The sequence below is a fragment of the Homo sapiens genome, chromosome 8 (assembly GCF_000001405.40).
Source record: "Homo sapiens chromosome 8, GRCh38.p14 Primary Assembly".
NCBI classification, from domain to species: domain Eukaryota; kingdom Metazoa; phylum Chordata; class Mammalia; order Primates; family Hominidae; genus Homo; species Homo sapiens.
Genome location: NC_000008.11, coordinates 100,694,481 through 100,722,190, shown reverse-complemented (window position 1 = coordinate 100,722,190; position 27,710 = coordinate 100,694,481). Strand labels below are relative to the sequence as shown.

At 40.9% G+C, this 27,710-nt stretch overlaps 1 protein-coding gene and 1 non-coding gene across 4 annotated transcripts, besides 4 other annotated features; both read left to right on the top strand.

Annotated features, from left to right (window-relative positions):
* Positions 32–864: an enhancer, noted in NCBI's record as "H3K27ac hESC enhancer chr8:101733555-101734387 (GRCh37/hg19 assembly coordinates)". NCBI's record gives its function as "activates a minimal SCP1, AML or CMV promoter by ChIP-STARR-seq in naive H9 embryonic stem cells {active_cell/tissue: H9 hESC(naive)}" and the evidence as "EXISTENCE:reporter gene assay evidence [ECO:0000049][PMID:30033119]".
* Positions 32–926: a biological region, named in NCBI's record as "H3K27ac hESC enhancer GRCh37_chr8:101733555-101734387".
* Positions 57–136: a silencer, noted in NCBI's record as "silent region_19421". NCBI's record gives its function as "represses an Ori minimal core promoter by ATAC-STARR-seq in GM12878 lymphoblastoid cells {active_cell/tissue: GM12878}" and the evidence as "EXISTENCE:reporter gene assay evidence [ECO:0000049][PMID:35858748]".
* PABPC1 (poly(A) binding protein cytoplasmic 1) lies at positions 103–19,275 on the top strand. Of its 3 annotated transcripts, none has more exons than NM_002568.4 (15): positions 103–800; positions 3,911–4,104; positions 4,303–4,418; positions 6,590–6,729; positions 9,010–9,104; positions 9,402–9,539; positions 9,734–9,829; positions 12,460–12,732; positions 12,968–13,058; positions 15,194–15,304; positions 15,386–15,540; positions 16,518–16,602; positions 17,135–17,265; positions 17,801–17,894; positions 18,832–19,275. In NM_002568.4, exons 1-14 carry the CDS (start codon positions 608–610, stop codon positions 17,891–17,893), a joined length of 1,911 nt encoding a protein of 636 aa, NP_002559.2. In that variant the 5' UTR covers positions 103–607; the 3' UTR covers position 17,894; positions 18,832–19,275. The 3 variants fall into 3 exon arrangements, with proteins under 3 accessions (NP_002559.2, NP_001425211.1, XP_047277650.1); NM_001438282.1 differs by having other exon boundaries at positions 17,801–17,911; XM_047421694.1 differs by having other exon boundaries at positions 17,801–18,896.
* Positions 817–926: a silencer, noted in NCBI's record as "silent region_19420". NCBI's record gives its function as "represses an Ori minimal core promoter by ATAC-STARR-seq in GM12878 lymphoblastoid cells {active_cell/tissue: GM12878}" and the evidence as "EXISTENCE:reporter gene assay evidence [ECO:0000049][PMID:35858748]".
* MIR7705 (microRNA 7705) lies at positions 19,167–19,223 on the top strand. Its single transcript, NR_106992.1, has one exon. It is a non-coding gene; the product is annotated as a microRNA 7705 (primary transcript).

The following is a 27,710-nucleotide window of genomic DNA, read 5'->3' as shown; positions in this document are numbered from 1 at the left end:
TACTCCGGCGCTGACGCTCGCGTAGGGGCCCTGGCGTCAGACGCGCGGGGGCGGGGCGAGTGCGGCGCGGGGTATAAGTAGAGGGTGCAGGAGGCGGTGCTTCCCCTTCTCCCCGGCGGTTAGTGCTGAGAGTGCGGAGTGTGTGCTCCGGGCTCGGAACACACATTTATTATTAAAAAATCCAAAAAAAATCTAAAAAAATCTTTTAAAAAACCCCAAAAAAATTTACAAAAAATCCGCGTCTCCCCCGCCGGAGACTTTTATTTTTTTTCTTCCTCTTTTATAAAATAACCCGGTGAAGCAGCCGAGACCGACCCGCCCGCCCGCGGCCCCGCAGCAGCTCCAAGAAGGAACCAAGAGACCGAGGCCTTCCCGCTGCCCGGACCCGACACCGCCACCCTCGCTCCCCGCCGGCAGCCGGCAGCCAGCGGCAGTGGATCGACCCCGTTCTGCGGCCGTTGAGTAGTTTTCAATTCCGGTTGATTTTTGTCCCTCTGCGCTTGCTCCCCGCTCCCCTCCCCCCGGCTCCGGCCCCCAGCCCCGGCACTCGCTCTCCTCCTCTCACGGAAAGGTCGCGGCCTGTGGCCCTGCGGGCAGCCGTGCCGAGATGAACCCCAGTGCCCCCAGCTACCCCATGGCCTCGCTCTACGTGGGGGACCTCCACCCCGACGTGACCGAGGCGATGCTCTACGAGAAGTTCAGCCCGGCCGGGCCCATCCTCTCCATCCGGGTCTGCAGGGACATGATCACCCGCCGCTCCTTGGGCTACGCGTATGTGAACTTCCAGCAGCCGGCGGACGGTGAGCGCCGGGCTCCGCGGTCGGCCGGGCGGGCGGGCGGCCATGAGGCTCGGGCGGCGGCGGCGGGCGGGGTAGGCCGGCGGGCCCGGGGAGGGGGGCGGGAGGGCATGTCACCCCGCGACGGCCGGCGGGAAGGCGCCGGGGTCCCTGGAGCCGCGTTTCCCGAGCCGGCGGGGACCCGCGCTGCCGGCAGCCACACGCCCGGCTACTTCCTCCTTTGCGACCATTTTCTCGGCCTCAGACGCTCTCAAACTTTAGGGTGATGACGCGCCGGGAGGGTGGGTGAGATTCGGTTCCTCCGCGGCGCTCCCGCCAGTGGCCCCGGGATTCTGGGGCGTTGAACGCTGAGCTCCTTCCGTGGGTAAGAGGTGGAGGCGCTCCCACCACCCGGAGCTCCTGCCGGCGCCCCAGCCTGGGGAGGAAGTGCAGTTCTGTGCTCGAAAAATACCACGTGTTGAACCCTGTAACCTCGCAGGCCCGAGGCCTGCTTCTGCTCCTGCTCCTGGCCCAGTCGCCTGGGGGAGCCACCAGGCCTTAGGATAAAGTTCCTGTGGCGATGTGTGGTGTGGTGGTGGTCCTCAGGCTTGTGAGTCCACTTCCCAGAACTCATCAGTGACTGATGGATCTAGGAATGGAATTTACCGGAGACATGCATTTGGGGTTTCCCCTAGATCAAGCATTTCTCTAACATTAAAAGGGCAGAGTGGGAGGAGGGGATGTGGCAGCCGACCACTTTGAAGGCCAGTTTTCTCAGGCAACTTAGACCATTTTTAGTCAAATTTTATCTTAGATTCACAGTACTGGTGGTTTTCGAGTATATTATGTTACCTTCTGAAATAGTTCCTGTCGTTTTGAGGGGCTTTTCTTTATAAAATAGTCAACTTTGGCTATAAAATGTTACTTTAGTGTAATTCCAACTGGACCAGTCTTATCTGTAGCATGCAAGAAGTTCAAGTTTCTCTTTTATTTTTAAAAGTGGCCCATGATACCTGTAAATCTTGGGAAATGACTGAGTACAAAATAACGGAGATTAAATTGAGCTTGAAATTTATGGGGGAAATGCAGCTAACTTTGTGCTTTTATTTTGAAGCTAAACAGTTAACAGAAACACAATTTTGTAAACAGATAATATCTGTGGTCTGTTGAGTTGCTAGGATTTGTCTTTAGATCAATTGGCTTTGAGAAGTCAGCTTAATTCCATTTTACGGCCCAATTTTGCCTTTTTCCCCCCCTACAGGCTGGCCACTTGAATACATGTCAAATAATCGAAATATGAAGAATTCATTTTTATTAGAAAAGGCCTTAAGGGTGGAATTTAAGCTCCTATTAACATTCATTCAGTAGAACTTAGGTTACTGATCAGCTCTTCACTGTGTAAAGTTGATACTGATTTTGGAAGCAGAATATTGAGTGACACAGAGCCAGAAGTTGTAAAACTGCACTGCAGGTTTCCTGCCCTTTTGCTCTGTAAGCAGTAACTCCAAATGTCACTTCATAACAGTTCTTGTCAACCTTAGGCAGGATGTATCAATGCATGTCAGATGGGGGTAGATAACTTTGGGGCAGGTTATCACAACCTAAGAGTTGGTGGAGAAAACATGGGAATGAATTCTAGAGACCACAAAATGAAAACTTGAAAGTGTTACTCTTTCTCAGCTTAACGTTTTTAAATCCAAAAAACAATTTTTACATTTCTTGGGATTCGAAGAGTTGAACTTCAGGTTGCCGTGGTTACAGTGTACAGTATATATTATCAGTCTGTACCAGTAGACCAGTACCCTAACTACTGAAAAGAATATGGCAGTTTTCCATTTGTCTAGTTTCTGTATGTACAATTTACTATCCAATTAATTACTTAAGTGGATTTCTTGTTCTTTTTTAAAAACTTATTGCTACATTGATAGGCAGAATAGCTTCTGAAAGTGACCAGTTTTCAATTTCATAGGAAGAGGTGACTCATTGAAAAATAGCTCAAGCAAAGTCAGCTAAAAAAAAAAAAAAACTAGGGAAGCTGAGTAGGTGTGGTCAATTGATAATGAGCTAACAGCTGATTATCACTATATTCTAGAAACTGGAACTTTCATTTATAAAAAAAGAGGTGGCCGGAAAATTCATCCTGTCAATAACTTTTAAATTTACATTGGCATGGAATTTGTAGGAATTGTTTCAGGGCTTAAAAGGGACCGTTTTCCCTCTCTTCGGGGACTAGTCTTTTTATTTAAGGATGTGTTATTTCATTTAGAGCCTTTAATGGTACAGGTATACATAATTCAATCCTTTATAGATCCTGAAATTAATTGTAGATTTTGAAATTTTCTAGCAGTATTCAGAAATAACTAAATCAGTTGTTAAGAAAATCAGCGATCTAAAGTGAAATTGATTGTATGTGTCAAGAGAGCGTTAATGGTGATTTCTGAATATTGCAGACCTGGTGTTTTTAAAATTCTGTGATTATGAAACCAAATATGTCTAACTTCACATTAGCTTTTGAAAGCATGATTCAAATCTTGGTCTAGCCTTTCATTTTCTTAAATGGAAGTTGTGCCATGAATCACTGAAACCCTCCCTCCCCCCAATAATTAAGAAACTTTCATTTTTTAGGAAATGGACTAGTTTTCATATAATATTGTTAGTTATTAGCAATGAAATGACCAATTTTAGCAAGTAGTTGGGAAGAAGTTAAAATATTTAAATCTATAAACTACTTCCAGCTTGTAGATAAATCTGTTGCGTAATGTCTTTTATACTGCTTATTAAACAGATTGTATGTGAAGGAATTTGGATTTTGATAACTAGGAAAAAAAGTGCTTTAGATTTAATGGCAATTAAGGCGAGAGATTGCGTCAAGAATTTATTAATTATTAGCAATATGGAATTCTTTTATATGTGAGAAATTTCGGGGGCTTCTGGTATTTGTCTTTGCTTTATACAACTTAGGTCCCACACTAGTGTGTGATACTTGAAAGGTCTAGCCATCTTGAAGCTTAAAGAGGAAGCGTTCAACTGTGAGACCATGTGTCCTCCCACTCCAGTCACCATAGTTTATATAATCTTAAGTAGCCAGCAAAAATTTTGAAGTAATATTGACTCTGAAAATGTCCTTCCTGCAGCGGAGCGTGCTTTGGACACCATGAATTTTGATGTTATAAAGGGCAAGCCAGTACGCATCATGTGGTCTCAGCGTGATCCATCACTTCGCAAAAGTGGAGTAGGCAACATATTCATTAAAAATCTGGACAAATCCATTGATAATAAAGCACTGTATGATACATTTTCTGCTTTTGGTAACATCCTTTCATGTAAGGTAAGCCAAAAATGTCCGATACACATGTTTACATTGTTGAGCTACATTTAGTTTAGTGCTTGAAATAGGAACTGTGCAGTAATGGATATCTTTATTTCACAAATATCCAGGTTAGATGGCTAACAGATTGTCTCTCAACACTGAACAAATGTTAAATCAATAGCAAATAAAGAAAAATGGGTATATGTTTTTCCCTAGGTGGTTTGTGATGAAAATGGTTCCAAGGGCTATGGATTTGTACACTTTGAGACGCAGGAAGCAGCTGAAAGAGCTATTGAAAAAATGAATGGAATGCTCCTAAATGATCGCAAAGTGTAAGTTATAAATATCTAGCTAATCATATTTTGAATCTTATTTTTAATAATTCCAAATCCATTCATTTTAAGTTAATATTTGTCAGGGAGAAGTTAGATGCACATAAGATAAAAGAATAAAAACATTTTAAAGATGAATAACAAAAATTCATGTAGTTGTACTGGAGTGAAAATTAATAAGCTAATCTTGATTTTTACAATTGAATTTTCTACACAGTAAGTGTAACATACAAATAACAGGTTTAATATAATTAACATTCATGCCAAAAGGAAAACAGAAGATAAGTAAACAGAAAAATGTAGCTTTTTCAAAATGAGTGCATTAGTGAAAAATCAGGAATTCAGACAAACCTAATATTCATAATTCTTGAGGTACTGGTTAAATTAACCCATTTTATAGGTGAGGAAACTCAAAGTAATTTGCTTTTATGTACTGTAAAATGAGAGACATACATTACTCACAAGTCCGGGCGCGGTGGCTCATGCCTGTAAATCCCAGCACTTTGGGAGGCCGAGGTGGGCGGATCACCTGAGGTTGGGAGTTTGAGACCAGCCTGACCAACATGGAGAAACCGTCTCTACTAAAAATACAAAATTAGCTGGGCATGGTGGCGCATGCCTGTAATCCTAGCTACTCGGGAGGCTGAGGCAGGAGAATCACTTAAACCCGGGAGGCGGAGGTTGCAGTGAACCGAGATTTCGCCATTGTACTCCAGTCTGGGCGACAAGATTGAAACTGTCTTTAAAAAAAATAAATAAATACTCACAAATGCCTGTTACCAGGGCTTTAGGAGGAAAAAAAAGCAAGCCCAACACTGGCAGGATCCAGAAAAGAATGATATGTTGCTGTTTTGAGTAAAAGTGATATAACTCTTTTGGAAATTTGTAACTGTCCTAAGAAGAAATACACAAAGTGTCTTTCATAAAGTTTCAGCTTTACTGCAGTGTGCCTTTATTCCCAGCCACTGGGAAGCTGAGGCAGGATGCTTGAGCCAAGGCTGTAGTGTGTTGTGATTGTGCCTGTGAACAGCTATTACACTCCAGCCAGGGCAGAATAGCAAGACCTTGTCTCTTAAAAAAGTTGCAGCATTATTTACAAAGCAGAAAGTGATGGTCACAATGAAATACGCTCCCTTTGAGAACATTTATGAAACTAATAGCATAGCGAAGACCAACCATATTTTGTGGAGAGATAAGGAAATTATTTTTATTTTACTTTTTATTCTAAAGCTGGGTTAGAGATAAGGAAATTTAGATGACTAGGGTGAGATTATGTAAGATGGTTTTTCCTTCTGCTTTGCTGTGTATTATAATATGCTATGACACATGTGCTACCTTTTTTTCTTCAGTGATCGTTGTTCTTTTTATATTTTTGAGACATGGTCTTGCTCTCTTGCCCAGGCTGGAGTGCAGTGGTGCAATCTACTCACTGCCACCTCTGCCTCCCGGGTTCTAGCAATTGTCGTGCTTCAGCCTCCCAAGTAGGTGGGATTACAGGTGTACACCACCACACCCAACTAATTTTTGTACTTTAGTAGAGACAGTTTCACCATGTTGGCTAGGCTGAACTCGAATTCCTGGCCTCCAGTGATCATCCCACCTTGGCCTTGCAAAGTGCTGGGATTACAGGTGTGAGCCACTGCCTAGCCCAGTGATCCTTGTTCTGAATTACTACTGTTATATTCAGAAAAAATTAAGTTTTAGTGTCATTTTGTTGAAAATGCTGCAGTTATGTCAGGCTGTTGTGTGTTAGAGTACACGATTGGGAAGTTTAAATTTTTATTCTAGGAGATGGCAAAGAAAGCGCAAGCGCCACTTTAAAATGACGATGAAAGCTTTTTAATTTGATAGAGGTCTTTTTATTGGCATGGTACACATGCACTTCCACTCATTTGTATTGATGGGAGTGATCCCTTTAACCCTAGGTTAGCTAGAGAAGAGAAGTGTGTATTAAAAGAAGTGGTTTTTTTTTTGTGATTGTAGTTAGAGGCTTATTCATATATTTCATGGTGTCATATCTTAAATTATGGCCCTATTTCTATTTTGTAGTGTGCTTTTTATTAGGGATTCTGAATATTCTCATTAACAGTAACAAAACCAACCATCAGGCTTACTTAATCTGAACTTTATAAAATAGAATCTAATGTTATAGTCCTTGTATATCTTATTAGATTTGTTGGACGATTTAAGTCTCGTAAAGAACGAGAAGCTGAACTTGGAGCTAGGGCAAAAGAATTCACCAATGTTTACATCAAGAATTTTGGAGAAGACATGGATGATGAGCGCCTTAAGGATCTCTTTGGCAAGTTTGGTAATGTGTCTTAATTAAATTTTTACACACAAAGCTCTGAATTAGTGCTCAGTGTTAATTTTAGCTATTACTTTATACTAAAAAAGTCAATAAAATTAGACTTACATGGTACTTTAAAATATTTGTGGTTATTTGAATTAAGCTGCTGGCCATCTATTACACTACAAAGTAGTATAATGCAAATAAATAGAATTCTATCCAGGTTAAAGGTTAATAGCATTAGATTAGCACAGTAAGGTATGACTAAGTAATTAGAACAGATTTTAAAATATTTTACTACATTAAGAGGCTGGAGATATATATGTGTGTGTGTGTGTGTGTGTGTGTGTGTGTGTGTGTAATTAGAGATCCCATGTCATCAGAAGCATATATTTGACACAGCCAGCCTACAGTGGAATGCAGTCTCATAGAACAATAAAGCTGGTCAGTCTAAGTAACATCATGTTTGAGCAGTTTAAAACAATGACTTTCAGCGATGAAACCAAAAATTCAGATTTTCCAGTGATTCAAAGTACTTATTTCCTGCATTTAAAAATAACTTCATAAAACTTGAAATTGATGAAGCACAAACCAGCCTTAGTTTAGGTAGGGGTATAACAGATAAAATAACTTTTAAGTGTTCATGTGCAGATGATTTGCTTGACCCCACCCTTTGCATTTTGTGTTGAACTTAGAGGTGTCTTGCTTTTTTTAATATGTCAAATAATAAAGAATTAGGAAATCTAATACTTTTTTTTTTGACTCTTGCTCTGTCACCCGGGCTGGAGTGCAGTCACGTGATCTCGGCTCATTGTAGCCTCCGCCTCCCGGGTTCAAGCAGTTCTCCTATCTCTACCTTGAGTAGCTGGGATTACAGGTGTGCGCCACCATGCCCAGCTAATTTTTGTATTTTTATTAGAGACGGGGTTTCACCGTGATGGCCAGGCTGGTCTCCAACTCCTGACCTCAAGTGATCCAGCCACCTCGGCCTCCCAAAGTGCTGGGATTACAGGTGTGAGCCACTGTGCCTGGCCAGGAAATCTAATATCTTACTGCCATGCTAGCATGTCACATCAAGCCCTCCACTAGAGCAAAAAAGTACCATTTTGCACAAAGATAGATGATATAAAACATAGAAAGTGACATCATGTTTACATCTCAACCCCCAAATTTAGCTACTGCCTTTTATATATTTCAACTGTCATGCTTCTTAATGTCTTATAATTAGAAGCTGTTTGTAAAAGTTGATGTTAACTACCTACCGTATGAGTAATGCTGCATAAGTTGACCACAAATATGTGAATATGTCATATTTTCTTGACTTTGGCCTCAGGAGAGAGGCACATTCAGAAGAAAATCTGCCTTGGCCCATACATCTTCTAAATTTCTGTAATCAAATGTGATTTTTAACCTTTTCTGCCCCACTTGCCTGAGATACCACCCGCCTCAGTTACCTGTCTCTCCTACTTTAGAGGGAGTTAGGGGAAAACATGTCTTCAGAAATAAATGCTTCCTCTTCCAGGTAGTTCACCTGTGTCTTTAAAAAGAATTTTTTTTCCCTGTCTTTCAAATTCCTGTATTACCTATGTCTTACCAAAGAGTCCAACTATGTATTCCTTCCACTCCTGTTGAAAGTCGGGTAGGCCAAGGCTTAATAAATACTTGTTTCTTAATTGATACAAAGAAAATCAAATTGGTCTTAGCACAATAGCTCATGCCTGTAACCCTAGCGCTTGGGGAGGTCAAAGAGGGAAGATACTTGAAGCCACAAGTTTTAGACTAGCCCGGGCAACATAGCAAGACCCTATCTCTACAAAAAATAAATTAGCCAGGCATGGTGGTATGTGGGCCAGTAGTCCCAGATACTTGGTAAGTTGAGGCAGGAGGATCACTTGAGCCCAGGAGTTGAGTTAAAGTGAGCTTATTCATTGTGCTGCTACACTTCAGCCTGGGCAATGGAATGATATACTGTCTCTATAGAAAAGGGAAAAAATCAAATTATTGGGTAAAAAATGCAACTCTTTTGTGCTAGAGCTGAGAATAAAACTTTTTACAGCCGTTTAAAGTGTACCTCCTTAAATGGAAGGAGGAATCCTTCAGGGGAGGGAAGGTGTTTACCTTCTTAATAATAAAAGGTCTTTCAATGGAAAAGTATACCTACCTGGGGCATAGAAGGCTGGGAGGGAGGAGTCAAGTTACGGAGCTTTGAAATTTTTTTCATGGCTTTGTATGTTGAAATTTGAAATGTATAACGTGAATGTTGTATGGAATATCTTTGATTTATGTAAAAAAATTTTTTAGGGCCTGCCTTAAGTGTGAAAGTAATGACTGATGAAAGTGGAAAATCCAAAGGATTTGGATTTGTAAGCTTTGAAAGGCATGAAGATGCACAGAAAGTAAGTGGTCTGTATTCAGCAGGAAGAAGGGGGTACAAAGTTGAGTTGCTCTTGTGTTGAAGTCTATGTGCATACTAATAGCTATTTGACATGTTCTTATATTTTCAGTTATTTGCATTTTATGCATTAGGTTTGAGAGTATAAATTGGTAACCTATATTGTCCCAAAACCTTGAGATTTTGGGATGGGTTTGTCTTTAGCTTTTGTGACTTAACAAATTTGTCTTAACTGTTAAGGAAATGAACTGTAAGTTGAAAGTTTTGTGATTTTTTTTTTTTCTTTTTTTTTGGGGGGAAGGCTGTGGATGAGATGAACGGAAAGGAGCTCAATGGAAAACAAATTTATGTTGGTCGAGCTCAGAAAAAGGTGGAACGGCAGACGGAACTTAAGCGCAAATTTGAACAGATGAAACAAGATAGGATCACCAGATACCAGGTTCATTTTTAATTGAACAACCAAAATAAGACAGGGATGAGGAAACCTATTTTACGTTGATTTCAGTTACTTCCAGGTAGCTGGAGGGTTTGAGAGGGGAATAGGAGAAGAAATATGGGGTAAAATAATAGACCCGATGTACTTAGGTACCACCATGGTTTTCTTTTTCTATAGTTTTCTTTTCTTCTTTTTAGGGTGTTAATCTTTATGTGAAAAATCTTGATGATGGTATTGATGATGAACGTCTCCGGAAAGAGTTTTCTCCATTTGGTACAATCACTAGTGCAAAGGTAAGAAAACATATGGTTCATTTATTTGAGGTCTAGTAAAAATTCATACATGTAGATATATGTATATAAATTTTGTATTATTATAGCCACTAGAGAGGTGTTTGCTTCGTTACTTCTAAAACTTAAATTCACATTTGAACTGGTTGTCATAGCCTAATGGTTAACTTAAAAATGGCAAGCACTGAACTCTTTGCTAAGGAAGGCTGATATCCTCACATGATATGCACTATTCCAACAACTAGTCATTTTGCTAAAGCAAGCAATTTATTAGGGACTTATAATTGTTACTATAGTTCTGATCTGTTTATTCATTTCTACAATTCATTCTGGGTAGTCAAGCCCCAGTTCCCTCCCCTGCCCCCTAGCAGTAAGAATAGAGATCATATTTTCTTTTATTTGAAATCAGAGATTAAGAAACAAAGCAGTAGTATTCTAGTACAAATTCTGAAATCTTGATTTAAGAAGTTCTCTTCTAGATGTTTTTGTCTAGCATCCGTGGGCCAAGAGTCCCCCTATATGCAAGGTTTTGTGCATACATAATTTTGCTGGGGTTGGGGAAGAGTGCATAGAAAAAAATTACAACTCAACTGAACTGGAATGACGCTGTGGCTGATCTTTCTAGTCAGCTTTTCCTGGCAAGTCCGAGGAAGCTTCTGTGAGAGTGAGGAAATGTTAGGGGAAAGGTGGTTGAATACAAGTAAGATGGAAGTGCCATGGTTGTCTTGTGTTTCAGATTATGCTTTTTATGTAAGAGTATTGGAGTACGATAGAATTTATTCCTGAATGTTTTTGTCTTCAGTGTGTTCCCTGGATATTGTTTAAATTGAGTGTTGTGCATCAGCATATTTTGAATGTATGAAGCATGCATGTTTTTCTGTTTCTTGAGACAGGATCTCATTATGTTGCCCAGGTTGGAGTGCAGGGGCATGCCACAATCACAGCTCACTGCAGCCTCAGCCTTTCCTGGGCTTAAGCCAAGCTTGTCCAACCCGCTGCTTGCAGGCCACATGCGGCCCAAGAATGCTTTTAATGCAGTGCAACACAAATTCTTAAACTTATGAGGTGTTTTTTTTTTGTCTTTTTTAAAGACGAGTCTCACTCTCGCCTGGGCTGGAGTGCGGTGGTGCAATCTCAGCTCACTGCAGCCTCCGCCTCCCGGGTTCAAGCGATTCTCCTGCCTCAGCCTCCTGGGTAGCTGGGATTACAGGCATGTGCCACTACGCCCAGCTAATTTTTGGTATTTTTAGTAGAGATGGGGTTTCACCATGTTGGCCAAGCTGGTCTTCCAACTCCTGACCTCAGGTGACCTCCTAAAGTGTTGGGATTACAGGCGTGAGCCACCGTGCCTGGCTGGTTGTCTGTCTTTTTATTGATTAAGGGAACATTTGTTTTATTTTTTTGAGATGGAGTGAAGTGGTGTGATCTCAGTTCACTGCAACTTCCACCCCCTGGGTTCAAGCAGTTTTCCTGTCTCAGCTTCCCGAGTAGCTGGGATTATATGCACCTGCCACCATGCCCGGCTAATTTTTGTATTTTTAGTAAAGACGGGGTTTCGCCACGTTGGCCAGGCTGGTCTCGAACTCCTGACTTCAGGTGATCCACCCGCCTTGGCCTCCCAAAGTGCTAGGATTACAGGCGTGAGCCACCGCGCCCGGCCAAACATTTGTTTTATATTGGAAATATTTTCTTCGAATTTTCCACTTTATAGACCTCACTTTGTGTGTGTGTCATCTTAGAAAGGTTTTCTCTCTATTTCTACATTCTATGTTCAGATTCAGAATCTACCTGGCATTTAAGATTTTTCAATGTAATGTGAATTAAGAGTTCTACATTTTTTCATTTGTCCCAGTGTGTCATGTATTGAGTAGCCCAAAGTCCTTTTTCCCCAGTACTTTAAAATGTTAACTTTAGCACAGTGAATTCCCATAATTGCTTGGGTATATTTCTGGCCTCTGTTTTATTACCGTTTGTTCCTATGCCACTCGCATACTGTTAATGTAGTTTTATAGCATGCTTATATATATTGCTGGCCTAGCGAGTGGTTCTTTGCAAGTCTTCATTGCTCATTTAAAAGGTCTTTGCAATCAATTTTAGAAGAACCTTCCTCTTGAGTGTTCTTTATACCGTAATATTTATGGATCCTCTGCTCTTGAATGTAAAAACTTTTATTTTAAGATGTGGGTATTGTAAGATTCAACTACTTTTTTCTCAAAGGCATAGTGAAGCATCTTGTCAGCTTGAATTGTTAGAATAGTCAAAATTTAATTGGGAAATGCTTCCAGTGGTGCCCAAAAGTCAATTTAGTAGGCCTGGGATGTATTTATTTAGATAATTAAATTTCAATATTGAAAATCCAATCAAATTCAGTATCTAAAATCTTTAAAAGTTTCTGTGCAGCCTTCACTTCTGTCAGTTCTCTGACCTGGCTAGGGTAATGCATATGTGTAGTTTGCCCTTAATAATTGGGTATTAAGGAAAAATTGTGAACTCAATGGGTAAATACAAGATGATTAAGCATTAACAGGGTTTAGTTATTTGATTCAGTGATTTATAATTGTCTAAATTGTAACGCTCTTTTTTTGCTCCTCATTCTACCATTACGTTAACTTTTTTTTTCTTTTTTTTAATAGGTTATGATGGAGGGTGGTCGCAGCAAAGGGTTTGGTTTTGTATGTTTCTCCTCCCCAGAAGAAGCCACTAAAGCAGTTACAGAAATGAACGGTAGAATTGTGGCCACAAAGCCATTGTATGTAGCTTTAGCTCAGCGCAAAGAAGAGCGCCAGGCTCACCTCACTAACCAGTATATGCAGAGAATGGCAAGTGTACGAGCTGTTCCCAACCCTGTAATCAACCCCTACCAGCCAGCACCTCCTTCAGGTTACTTCATGGCAGCTATCCCACAGGTAGGTTTTAGAAGGCAACCAGAACCATGAAGGTTTTCGTATTTGGTCATTTCTAGTGTTTTTTGTGCCCCTCGCCCCGCAAATGTGAAACATTAAGAAAGGGGAATTATGATTGAGTAGGAAAAAATGCTTGAGTGTGAAGTCCTGGTAAATGTTTTGAAAAAGTACATATAATTTATTGCATTATTTGCTTTTTTCTTCAACTGATAAACTCATGTGCTTTTTTTCCCTGCAGACTCAGAACCGTGCTGCATACTATCCTCCTAGCCAAATTGCTCAACTAAGACCAAGTCCTCGCTGGACTGCTCAGGGTGCCAGACCTCATCGTAAGTCTTTTTTCTTTTAATTAAGGTTGGGGATTGAGTTAAAAATAACACATTGGGTAAATCAGCTCTTCTATGTCAATGTTAGGTTAACTATTGCATTTCACATAATTTGTGGTTATGGATGTTCATTTTTATAGCATTTAAAAGCAGTGCTAAGATAGTAATGTCTACAGTGGTTTGATTTCCCTTTATAAAAGTTTTGGGAATAGGTACAGCTCTTCATTTTTTATTTATTTATTTATTTATTTATTTTCGAGACAGAGTCTCGCTCTGTTGCCCCAGGCTCGAGTGCAGTGGCTCAGTTTCGGCTCACTGCAACCTCCACCTCCCAGGTTCAAGCGATTTCTCCCTGCCTCAGCCTCTGGAGTAGCTGGGATTACAGGTGCCCGCCACCACGCCCAGCTAACTTACGCATTATTAGTAGAGATGGGGTTTGACCACGTTGGCCAGGGTTGTCTTGAGCTCCTGATCTCAGGTCATCTGCCCACCTCAGCCTCCTAAAGTGTTGAGAGTACAGGCGTGAGCCATGGCACCCAGCCAATTTCATATTTTGTCAGGCCACAGTTTTAAAGGTCTCGTTCCATTTAATCATGTATGAGAATCAGAGTCGTGGTATTTTATGTCTTGTCCTGTGGAACAGTATGTTATATTCCAAGAGCACTTAGAGTTTATTTTTTTAGACAGAGTCTCACTCTTTCTTCTAGTCTGGAGTGCAGTGGCATGGTCTTGGCTTACTGCAGCTTTCACCTCCCGGGTTCAGGTGATCCTCCTGCCTCAGCCTCCCAAGTAGCTGGGACTACAGGCACACGCCACCACGCCCAGCTAATTTTTTAAATTTTTTGTAGAGACGGGATTTTGCCCTGTTGGCCAGGCTGGGAGCACTTAGAATTTTATCATGATTATGTTTCAGGTATATTTATAAGTGTGGGCGGCAAACCACCCAGGTGCCAAGGCAAGAGACCGAGGACACGAGCTGTTCCAATATAATAAAATATAAAATAAGAATAGTTATACCAGATATAGATCTTAGATATGATTATATATGAATATCATTAATCATTAGTTTGTAGCAATTACTCTTTATTCCAATATCATAATAATCCTCACTCTATAATCATAACCTAGGAAAAACCAGGCCATACAGAGATAGGAGCTGAGGGGACATAGTGAGAAGTGACCAGAAGACAAGAGTGCGAGCCTTCTGTTATGCCCAGACAGGGCCACCAAAGGGCTCCTTGGTCTAGTGGTAACGCCAGCGTCTGGGAAGACGCCCGTTGCCAGGCGGACCGAGGTCTAGCAGTAGCGTAAGTGTCAAAGGAAAACACCCACTATTTAGCAGACCGGGAAAGGGAGTCTGCTTTTCCCCTGGGGAGTTTAGAGAAGACTGCTCCTCCACCTCTTGTGGAGGGCCTGACATCAGTCAGGCTTGCCTGCAATTATCCAGAGGCCTAACCGTCTCCCTATGGTGCTGTGCTTCAGTGGTCACGCTCCTAGTCTGCCTTCATGTTCCATCCTGTACACCTGGCTCTGCCTTCTAGATAGCAGTAGTAAATTAGTGAAAGTACTAAAAGTCTCTAATATGCAGAAACAATGGCGTAAGCTGTCTTTCTCTCTGTCTCCTCTCCCTCTCTGCCTCGGCTGCCAGGCGGGGAAGGGCCCCCTCTCCAGTGGACACGTAACCCACGTGACCTTACCTATCATTGGAGATGACTCACACTCTTTACCCTGCCCCTTGTGTTTTGTTTCCAATAAATAACAGTGCAGCCAGACATTCAGGGCCACTACTGGTCTCCGCGTCTTGGTGGTAGTGGTCCCCCGTGCCCAGCTGTCTTTTTTTTTTAAATCTCTGTGTCTCGTGTCTTTATTTCTGCACTCTCTCGTCGCTGCATACAGGGAGAAGCCCACCGACCCTGTGGGGCTGGTCGCTACATATAAGTACTCGTCCTTGTATGAATTAATGTTTTTACTTATTGATGCTCTGAGTCTGGGAAAATGGCAAGTGTTAAGACTCAGCTTTAAAAAGTTTTGTCACTTTTTAGTCTTTTATGCAAACCTCAGATCGAAGAAGACAGCATAAACACTTTTCACTCAGTAAGTTTTCCCAGTTAATGTATATTCACATCTTTAAAATGCAGCATTCCAAAATATGCCCGGTGCTATCCGCCCAGCTGCTCCTAGACCACCATTTAGTACTATGAGACCAGCTTCTTCACAGGTTCCACGAGTCATGTCAACACAGCGTGTTGGTGAGTCTTAATCCTTCCTTTAAAAATTGATCACCAATTTGAAAGAGCAAGATAAAAATACAAAATGTTCTTATTTTTTAGCTAACACATCAACACAGACAATGGGTCCACGTCCTGCAGCTGCAGCCGCTGCAGCTACTCCTGCTGTCCGCACCGTTCCACAGTATAAATATGCTGCAGGAGTTCGCAATCCTCAGCAACATCTTAATGCACAGCCACAAGTTACAATGCAACAGGTATGGATTTAATGATTTCTTAATAAAAATCACATTTCTTGGGTGAAATCAAAGGTGTGAAGACAGCTGGGCACAGTGGCTCACACCTATAACCCCAGCACTTTGGGAGGTTGAGGCAGGCAGATTGCTTGAGACCAGGAGTTTGGGACCAGCCTGGGCAACATACAGGACCCTGTCTCCACAAAGAAAACTAGCTGGGTGTGGTGGCATAAGCCTGTAGTCCTAGCTGCTAGGAAGGCTGAGGCAGGAGGATTGCTCGAGCCCAGGAGTTTAAGGCTGCAGCAAGCTGTAATCCCTGCTGGGTGACAGCAAGACTCTGTCTCAAAAGAAAAAATGTGAAGACAGCTGCATGATAGATTCTTGAGAGCTTAGCCTATCTGGAACATTCTGCTAATATGATAGTATGTAAAATGTCTTACGCTTTTGGAATTGGACAAGCAGCGAGAAATTCACATCCTAAATCACCACGCCTGGTCTGAAACAACTATTACAAGTAGCTATGGGCCAGGCGTGGTGGCTCACACCTCTATGTAATCCCAGCACTTCAGGAGGCCAAGGCAGGTGGATCACTTGAGGTCAGGAGTTTGAGACCAGCCTGGTCAACAGGGTGAAACCCCAGCTCTAAAAATATAAAGATTAGCCAGGCTTGGTGGCACATGCCTGTAATCCCAGCTACTGGGGAGGCTGAGGCAGGAAAGTTGCTTGAATCCGGAGGCGGAGGTTGCAGCGAGCCAAGATTGTGCCGTTGCATTCCAGCCTGGGCGACAAAGTGAGACTCCATCTCAAAAAGAAAAAAAATGTATCTGTGATACATAGTATATAATAACTACTTTGGCTTCTTTCTAATTCGCTCACTCAACTTCTCCACCTCATGTTTCGATGGAAGTCTACCACTTCAGCAGATGTCCATTGATGACTATTTGTATTTGCCATCTTTTTCTGTGCTTTAAACTTAAGAGTTCTCATTTTCTGTCTAGCCTGCTGTTCATGTACAAGGTCAGGAACCTTTGACTGCTTCCATGTTGGCATCTGCCCCTCCTCAAGAGCAAAAGCAAATGTTGGGTGAGTACTTCTGTCCCACCTTGTCAGTTCAGAAAGACTAGAAAATATAGGAATCACTTAGGCACTAGGTCAATCAATTGACAGCTAGGGCAGTGGAATTGATCTGAATTGGCATGAATGATTATGATAGTACAGTTGGTCTGCCTAATTAAAACCACTGGAAAGCCAATAAGAAAATGTATTGTTAGTAATAAATAGGGTAGTAGGGCATTACTCACCATGGGCCCTCACTACATTTTTGAGAGAAGGAATTTGAAGCAAATGAGAAGAAAACTTGTGACTTTGCCTGAACACCGATTTAACAACCTAATGGTAACATTGCTTAATTGGCAAGCTGATAATATCAAGAGTTAATTGCCTTGTGGCAGATTTTATTCTGTCTTCCCATGAAGACATAATGAAATTGTGGATTATGGGTTATTATATACGTGAGACAGAAGTATGGTTCTTAAACCCCAGTTTAATGTGGTAATTCAATGCAGTTAAAAACTTTTTTTTATTGAAGGGAGTTTTTGAATGTTTCTGTTCCTAGGTGAACGGCTGTTTCCTCTTATTCAAGCCATGCACCCTACTCTTGCTGGTAAAATCACTGGCATGTTGTTGGAGATTGATAATTCAGAACTTCTTCATATGCTCGAGTCTCCAGAGTCACTCCGTTCTAAGGTGATTTAAATTTATTTACCAAGTTGCCTCTTACACAGTTATTACGTGGCTTTTTATGGGGACTTAATTGTACAGAACACTTACATCGTGTTATATATAAGCCATGTACAGTTGTAAAGTCTGCATAATAACCTGTGGCGCTATTTATCCCCATTTTATAGATAGGTAAACTGAAACAGGCTGAATAATTTGCCAAATGCTCACACAGCTCTTAAGTGGCAGAGCCTGGCTTCAAATCCCATCAGCTCCAACAGCCATACTCTCAACTGCTGCTGCTTTCTCTAGTGGAGAAAGAGAAATATTTTTCGAGTGTGGGGAGGACAAGGAAAGAGTAGTGCAGGGGAGCGATTCATAATTCTAGAATAGTGGTGTAATAGAACTCAAAATTGAATGGATATAGTTGTTTAGTGTAACAATTTATACTTTCATTTGAGGGAAGAAACTTATCTTTGTTGGGAATTGGTATGTTACCATTATGAAACTCTTTATTTCCATTCCTTTCCTGAACCAGTTTATCTGTTTTCCCCTTTTTTAGGTTGATGAAGCTGTAGCTGTACTACAAGCCCACCAAGCTAAAGAGGCTGCCCAGAAAGCAGTTAACAGTGCCACCGGTGTTCCAACTGTTTAAAGTGAGCTTTTCCCTCTGGTTTGTTGTTTTAAGCTTGTTTTCTTCATCTTTTATAAAGTTTGTTGAGCATATTTTGAAATGTACATAGCAAAAGATCATTTTACAGTTCATTTAAATGTATTGCTAATTTTTCAAGGAAAAGTGGAACTAACTATAGAGGAATTAAAGGAATTTTACCCGTTAACTGTTGGATTTTTAAAATCCCAGGACTTTCAGGTGGTGTTTTTTTTTTTTTTTTTTTTTGAGATGGAGTTTCGTTCTGTCGCCCAACCTGGAGTGCATTGACGCGATCTCGGCTCACTGCAACCTCCACCTCCCAGGTTCAAGCAATTCTCCTGCCTCGGCCTCCCGAGCAGCTGGGATTAACAGGCCCATGCCTGCCACCGTGCCCAGCTAATTTTTGTATTTTTACTAGACTTGGGGTTTTGCCATGTTGGCCAGGCTGGTCTGGAACTTCTGACCTCAAGTGATCCGCCCACCTCGGCCTCCCAAAGTCTTGAAATTACAGGCGTGAGCCACTGCGCCCTGCCAGATTTTGTATAGTAATATATATATAAAATGACCTGTCACAGGTTGGCTTTCATAGTTTTACCTTTCCTTTTTGGGTGGTGCCCTTGGGTCTCTACTACTGTCTTTCATCACTCCCAAGAAATTGAGTAGTGCAGCCAGGATCAGGACCAGGGATTGGCAAATGTTTTTTGTAAAGGGCCAGATAGGAAATATTTTGGGCTTTGAGGACTGTGTTATCTCTGAAATGATCTTGTTCCAGTGTTACCATGTCAAGACAACCATAGATAGTATGTATACAAATGAACAGGTATGGCTGTGTTCCAGTAAAACTATGGATAAAAACAACCACATTGCATTTGGCTAAGGGCTTTAATTTGCTACTGACAAGTGATAGTCCTGGTCTTAATTTGTTTTTTTAACATTTACAGATTGATCAGGGACCATGAAAAGAAACTTGTGCTTCACCGAAGAAAAATATCTAAACATCGAAAAACTTAAATATTATGGAAAAAAAACATTGCAAAATATAAAATAAATAAAAAAAGGAAAGGAAACTTTGAACCTTATGTACCGAGCAAATGCCAGGTCTAGCAAACATAATGCTAGTCCTAGATTACTTATTGATTTAAAAACAAAAAAACACAAAAAAATAGTAAAATATAAAAACAAATTAATGTTTTATAGACCCTGGGAAAAAGAATTTTCAGCAAAGTACAAAAATTTAAAGCATTCCTTTCTTTAATTTTGTAATTCTTTACTGTGGAATAGCTCAGAATGTCAGTTCTGTTTTAAGTAACAGAATTGATAACTGAGCAAGGAAACGTAATTTGGATTATAAAATTCTTGCTTTAATAAAAATTCCTTAAACAGTGCACGGATTTGCTTTTTTTCAAAGTCTTTATAATTGCCATGCATAAATAGGTAATATCTTAATGGTGCTGAGCCGACATAAGAATCTTTTATGAAAAATGTACTGTTAAGTTCAGGGGGTCTATTGGTTTTATGTAAAAGGCACAAGACAATTCCTGTAGTGCATTTTATGAGTTAAGGTTTCCATACGGATTATTGAAACAATTTGTTACATGTATTTGTTACATGATCTTAATATTTCATGTACAAGACTGACACCCATCCACTTTTGAAGATAAGCCAGTTTATGGGGTTTTTTTTTTTGCGGGTAGAGGTTGGGTCTCCCTATTTTGTCCAGGCTGGTCTCGAATTCCTGGGCTCAAGCATAAGCATAAGGCTTATTCCTGCATAAGCCACCATGCCTGGCCTGCCAGTTGATGATTATATTGAGGTTTCTAGGCTATGAGATTATTAGCTTAAACCCTTACATGATATAAAACAATGATAGCTACTCTTGAAGAGGATGTAGATAAGATAGGCTTTGGTATGATTTTAATATTAAAGTGTTAAAAGTTATGATTAGTTTTAAACCTTATTCTTGTAACGTCTTTAATTTGGTAGTTCATGATTGTGGCTTAATTTTAGTGTAATACCCAAAGTACTTGTTAAAGGTGAAGATGTGGGGTTCTTTTAGGAGGATGGATTTAGAAGATCTAGCCTGGAGTATAGGGTATCTGCATAAAACTGATAACCCAGGCAGTTTACACTTTTAGGTTTTAATTTCTAACCGATCATTCTCTGTGGACTACTGCTAGAGTTAGCTTTCTAAGTTAAACGTGTGGTTATCTCATTCCATGCTAAACAAACAATTCTATTAACCTTCGGGATTAAATAAATCTAAACAAAACCCTAGCTTGTGACAGTGGCAGCCCTCAATGCTGATGAAGCCTAGTGATGCTTCTGTACCTAGAATGCTTTTCGCTTTGGCTTCTTGTTTTGAAACTCAAGATAATACAAACTCCACCCTCCTACCCTTTAGCATAGAACAGTGCATCCAGTGGGGATCCTGATCATTTTGTATTTTGCCTCACAACAGACATACCCTCTCAGGGGCTGATGCTTCATTACAATTTTTTTTTTTGAAAGATTTTCTTCATTGTGTTAAGGCAGAGAAACACCATATTTTTTCAAAATTGTAATACAAAATGGTTCAAATTTTGAGGTTTTAAAAGAGCCGGCTATTTTGAGACACTTGAAGTCAAATCTATAAAGTTCACACACTAGTTCACACACCAAAATCTAGTGCCAGGTTGGGTTCATAGCTTTATACGTTAGGTAGCTGATTGATTGGAAGTCAGTATTTGTTGTGAGATTCGAAGATAAGTCATATTCATCTGTTCCTGAAATGTCTGCTTTTTCAGATAGAGCAAACTTTAAGTGGCCAGAGCCAACAGATTTGGGGAGTAGGCATTTGGATTCTTGCAGGAATTAAGGAAACAGTTGATTCTCATTTGCAGATTCCGTATTTACAAATTTGCCTACTCACTAAAATTTATTTGTAACCCCCAAATCAGTGTGCATGCTGCTTTCATGGATGTGTGCAGAGCAACAAAAAGTTTGCGTCACCTGATAACACACTTCCCAGACGAGTATCCCTTTCATGGTCTGTTGAGTGCTATGTTCTTGACATTTTTGTGCCTTTTGTGGGTGGATTTTGCTGTTTAAAATGGCCCCCAAGCATAGCGCAGAAGTGTTACCTGGTGTTCCTTAGCACAAGAAGGAAGAGATGAGCCTTTTGGAGAAAATGGATGTTAGGGAGGCTTTTTTTCAGGCATGGGTGACATGAGTTACATGAATTCAGTATTAATGTATATTAAGGTATCTTAACAAACACATAAAACAAGGTCATGTATTAATTGCTGGAAATGTCACAGGCTTACAGGAACCTAACCCTGTCAGTACAGGTTGATTATCCCTTTTCAGAAATGCTTGGGATTCTGGAATATTTACATATACAGAATGAGATCTTGGGGACGGGACTGAAGTCTAAACAATTTATTTCATACATGTTACAGCCTGAATGTAATTTTATACGGTATTTTCAGTAAATTTGTGCATGAAACAAAGTTTTGACTGACCCATCACATGAGGTCAGGTGTGGAATTTTCAACTTGTGTCATGTCAGCACTCAAAAGTTTAGGGGTTTGGAGCTTTTTGGATTAGGGATACTCAACCTGTATTTAATAATTCAGTGTTCATGGTGATTTCTTTGTTTTTTTTTTTTTTTTTTTTTTTTTTTTTGAGACAGAGTCTTGCTCTTGTTGCCTGGGCTGGAGTGCAGTGGCACGATCTCGGCTCACTGCAGCCTCTGCCTCCCGTGTTCAAACAATTCTCGTGCCTCAGTCTCCCAAGTAGCTGGGATTACAGGCGCACACCACCACACCTGGCTAATTTTTGTATTTTTAGTAGAGACAGTTTCACCATGTTGGCCTGGCTGGTCTCAAACTCCTGACCTCAGGTGATCACCCTCCTCGGCCTCCCAAAGTGTTGGGATTACAGGCGTGAGCCATGGCGCCCGGCCCATGGTGATTTCATAGAACATAACTGCTATGAGTAAAAAGAACTGACTGTAGTATATGGTAAATAACGTAGTTCATAATCCACAGTGGTTTGTTTGAAACTCCTAGTTTCATAGCAGAATTTGAGATGCAAAACAGAACAAGACAACTGACATTTTTTGGGCTACCGTGTATCTTTTAAAGCATGTGTATGACTGCATCATTTGACAGTTTTGACACAAACTAACAGGTGACATTTTTCTATGGATACTAGATGTATAATGGTTAATTGGAAACTTCTGGAATCTTTTCTTTGTTTCAACACGTATGCTAAGACTTGCATAGATGAAATAAGCTTAAGTAATGTGCCTTGTTTATAGTATGCTATCTTTGGTTATGTGAGAGATGTTAATGGAGAGTACTTTGAAAATTGCTTATTATTTTGGTTTAAAATCTTGATCCCAGATTATTCATTTAAAGCAAGTATATGGCTTTGTTTTTTGGTCTGTTTTTTGTTTTTGAGACAGAGTCTCGCTCTGTTACCAAGGCTGGAGTGCAGTGGCGCGATCTCAGTTCATTGCAGCCTCCGCCTCCTGAGTTCAAGCAATTATTGTGTCCCAGTCTCCTGAGTTGCTGGGATTACAGGCACACAACACTACATCCGGCTAAAATTTTTGTATTTTTAGTAGAGACAGAGTTTCGCCATGTTGGCCAGGCTGGTCTTGAACTCCTGACCCCAAGTGATCTGCCTGCCGCAGTCTCTCAAAGTATTGGGACTACAGGCATGAGCCACCATGCCTGGCTGAAAGCAAGTATATAACTTTGAAGAGTATCTGGATACTTAACGTTTAATGAGTGCACTAGACAAGTTGTCATGGAAGCAAAGTTAAATCCTAAGTCCGAGTTGGAAGCACCATGGGTGGAGCTGGTCAATATACTGCCTAACACTGTCCAGCTATGATAATCTGCATGGATCTCTGCTAGGAGACCTAACCAGTCATGGGGACATCTTTGAATAAACCAGTCAGGGCAGACGTACCTTTGGACAATGCCAGTGCTACACGAATGAATTTTTTTAATTTTTTGTATTATAGAGACAGGGTCTCTGTTGCCCAGGCTGGAGTGCAGTGACACAATTGTAGCTCACTGCAGCCTGCAATTCCTGGGTTCAAGAGACCCTCCCACCTCAGTCTCCCAAGTAGCTGAGACTACAGGCACTCACCACCTCATCCAGCTAATATTTTAGTTTGTAGAGATGGAGGTCTTGCTATGTTGCCCAGGCCGGTCTCAAACTCCTGGCCTCCTGAAGTACTGGGATTACAGGTGTGAGCCACTGCACTTGGCCCTACACCGATGAATTTTTTTTTTTTTTTTTTTTATAGGGACAGAGTCTTGCTCTGTCACCCAGGGTGGAGTGCAGTGGTGTGATCACAGCTTACTGCAGCCTCAACCTCCTGGGCTCAAGCCATCCTCCCGCCTAGCCTCCTGAGTAGCTGAGACTACAGTTACACTCCCACATCTGGTTAATTTATTACTTTTGTAGAAATGAGGTCTTGATCTGTTGCCCAGGCTGGTCTCGAACTCCCGATTCTCCTGCCTTGGCCTCCCAAAGTGCTGGGCTTATAGGTGTCAGCCATCATGCCTGGCAATGAATTATTTGTCTCCTATTTTTAGGCCTCATACTGACTCTCCCTCTTCAGTAAATATAGCCTGTCTTCTACTAAGTTAGATTTAAGGGTTTTTAGTTAACCACTTTCTGTAACACTCAGATCACTTTGATACATCTCCTGTTGCTGTATCTTCTCTACCACCTAGTTTCACATGCTAGGGAGATACATGGCAGAATTGCAGGGTAACCTAATTTTTATTTATTTTTTATTATTATTATTTTTTTGAGATGGAGTCTCGCTGTGTCACCCAGGTTGGAGTGCAGTAGTGCAATCTCGGCTCACTGCAGCCTCCACCTCCCAGATTTAAGCAATTCTCTTGCCTTAGCATCCCGAGTAGCTGGGACTGCAGGCACGTGCCACCACACCCAGCTGATTTTTGTATTTTTAGTAGATACGGGTTTCGCCGCGTTGGCCAGGCTGGTCTGGAACTCCTGACTTCAGGTGATCCACCCGCCTCGGCCTCCCAAAGTACTGTGATCACAGGCATGAGCCACCGCGCCCAGCCAGGATAACCTAATTTTTAAATTTTAGATAGTATTCGTTTATTTGACCCTCACAATCATGGCAAGTTTGCAAAATATTGTATTATCTAAAAAGGTAGAAAAACATGCAATTTATTTACTTTGTTACTGACAATATCCCCAGAAAAGGAAACAACATGGGCTTTTGATTAGCTCTGATGTTTTTTCTGCAGAGAAAAAGCTCTACATGTTGGAACATTTGTCCTTTTCAGAAAGTTCCCACAAGATACATGATCATTGATAAGGCATACGTGAACAGATGGATTTATGATTGGTGATGGGTTTTTGTTTCTATACCCCACCCCAAGTAAAAAAAAAATGTGTGGTACATGGAATATTTTTTATTATGCTTATTTCGTATTGCCAGGTAGATGGCCAGCCTGACATTCAAAATTATTTTATCAGCCCCTAAATGTTAATATTTCCCAAACTATTTAAATCAGTAGAAGACATTTTTACTATTAAGAATAAAAAGTTATAATATAAAATGGATTAAATGCCAGATTATATGCTAAACAAGTCCTTTAAATTTTTAACTTAATATTTTTAACAGATTTTTTTTTTGAGATGCAGTTTTACTCTTGTTGCCCAGGCTGGAGTGCAATGGCACAATCTTGGCTCACTGCAACCACCACCTCCCGGGTTCATGCGATTCTCCTGCCTCAGCCTTCTGAGTAGCTGGGATTACAGGCATGTGCCACCACATGCAGCTAATTTTGTACTTTTAGTAGAGACGGGGTTTCTCTATGTTGGTCAGGCTGGTCTTGAGGTCGGGAGCTCAGGTGATCTACCTGCCTCAGCCTCCCAAAGTGCTGGGATTACAGGCGTGAGCACTGCGCCCGGCTTTAACAGATATTTTTATAAGCAAATCATTTATAAGTATGGGTGACTATTCTTTACAAATCCATTTGTGATGCAGTGGTAATTTGGTGGCACTGCAATTATGGCCAGCAATGAAGATTATAAAATAATTGCCTGAGGAACCAAGCTCATGTGCACTAAAAAGAAGCAGGGATTCTTAGAAGATTCTTAGAAGTATAGAGTAGTGATTTTTTTGGGGATGGAGTCTTGCTCTGTCGCCCAGGTTAGAGTGCAGTGGTGCGATATCCGCTCACTACAACCTCCGTCTCCTGGGTTCAAATGATTTTCCTGCCTCACCTCCCAAGTGGTTGGGACTACAGGCGCCTGCCACCATGCCCGGCTAATTTTTGTATTTTTAGTAGAGACGGTTTCACCATGTTGCCTAGGGTAGTCTCAAACTCCTGAGCTCAGGCAGTCATCCTGCCTAGGCCTCCCAAAGCGCTAGGATTACAGGTGTGAGTCACTGTGCCCGGCCGATATGCCTGTTTTTTAATCAACCAATTTTTAAAAAATTTACCAGAGCCAACTCGGAATTAACATTTGTAACTGCTAATATTGAGTATATGTATGTGTTTACTTAACAAGTAAACTCTTTACTTGCACTATATCATTTAATTCTTAAAACCACCCTATGAAATTGGTTCAGTAATATATTCCCATTTTACAGATGAGGGAACTGAAGCATCAAACTGAACCGCGACTTGTCCAAAGTCACATAGTAAGTGGAGGTGGAACTGGGCTTTAAATCCAAGCCTACATACAGACTAGAGTTCACACTTTTAGGCTTGGCATAAACTGCCTATAAACTATAAAAAAGTAAAACTCCATAAAATCTCAGGTACTTGGACTACCTTCAGTCTGAGAGGTGGGGGATGGGGAGACAGCAAATTTTTATGTTTATTAAAGCATGAAATATAAAGCAAAAACAAAGTTCCTTTTTCTTTTTTTTAATTTAAATTTGTATTTTTTACGGAATCTCACTGTCACCCAGGCTGGAGTGCAGTGGTGCGATCTCAGCTCACTGCAGCCTCCACCTCCCGGGTTGAAGCATGTCTCCTGCCCCAGCCTCCCAAGTAGCTGGGACTACAGGCGCATGTCACCATGCCTAGCTAATTTTTGTATTTTTAATAGAGATGGGGTTTCACCATGTTGCTCAGGCGAATCTCGAACTCCTGACCTCAAGTGATCCGCCTGCCTCGGCTTCCTAATGTGCAAAGATGCTTTTTTGTTGTCACATTTTAAGACAGCCAAAAAGAATGAGAAAGTCATTGTTTAGAAGAAAAGGAATCCTAGTGACGAGTTGTCTTGAAAGAGAAGAAAAAAAGTTAAAAAACAGAAGAAAAAGGAGATCTTTAACCGTGCTGGGTATAAAATTCTAAGTCAGGATACTTTTCTTCCTTTGAGCATCTTTGACTGCCTGGGGAATATCAGACATTCTTTTAGTGGCCTTGTGATCATTTTGCTGAGCTTGTTCATATTCCTGTTCTAGGTTCTCTTAGAATTGATAAATAGACTTAACGAAAACCTTTTAATTACCATGAATTTTTAATAAAACGTGAAATTAATGTTCTGGCCTTGTATTGCACTTCTGTGCCAATTGGGAAGATGTCTCAACCTTTTCTCAACAGTTATTAAGAAATATGTTGGATAAAACACCGATTACTACTGCTAAAGAAGAACTTTCCAACAAATTGGTAATGTTTTCTTTCAGATAAGCAACACACACTGCCACTTAAGTAGCAAAGCCCCATCTAGAACTCCTGGCTCTCTGACTTCAGGGTCTGTGCTATTAACTTGTTTAATTTTGCTTTTGTCTTGCTATTTATGCAGACAAGAATGTTTGATATTTTCTTTACCAATTATATTAATGAATAACAACTACTGTCATTTAAACTTAGCTTTCATCTGATCTCAGATGGAGATGACATAGATGTTTTGTGTCATGTGAGTGTAAACATTGATCCTGTTCCAACTCTTTCCTTGAAGAAACAAACCAGTGGACTTGGAGAGGTGGTGTTATTTATCATGTGTGAATGGAGCCAGAAGACATCTAGCGTACCATAAATAAGCTCCCCTTGAAGGATTTCCTTCTAATCACATCTCTGATACATGGCAGTTTGGTAACATCACCCCTTGCCTTGCTTTGGGTTTTAAAAAAATTATTCTTTGTTTTTATTACACCCAGATTTTATGCATGATATTTTAATTGAATTATTTATATACAGTTGATACAGCTTTATGATTTTTGACCAATGTTTATTTATTTTTAATTAATTTTTTGTGTGTGTGATGGAGTTTCGCTCTTGTCGCCAGGCTGGTGTACAGTGACGGGATCTCGGCTCACTACAACCTCCACCTCCCGGGTTCAAGCGATTCTCCTGCCTCAGCCTCCTGAGTAGCTGGGATTACAGGCGCCCACCACCACACCCAGCTAATTTTTTGTGTTTTTAGTAGAGACCGGGTTTTGCCATGTTGGTCAGGCTGGTCTCAAAACTCCTGACCTCAGGTGATCCACCCGCCTCGGCCTCCCAAAGTGCTAGGATTACAGGCATGAGCCTGGCCCTGACCAATGATTATACCCTGTAACCACTCATATAAAAATATAGAGCATTTCCAGTACCTCAGAGGGCTCCCTTGGGTCCCTACTCAGTTAATATTTGCCCCCTTCCCCAAAGGTAGACATTCTTCCTATGTCCTATATTTGTAGTAGCTGTTTTGAATTTCATATAAATAAATGCACACATATTGACTTGTGCTTGTCTGCTTTTGTTCAACATCATGTCTGAGATTACTCCGTATTATATGTAGCAGTAGTTAGCTCCTATGTGGCTGCATAGTACTCCATGTA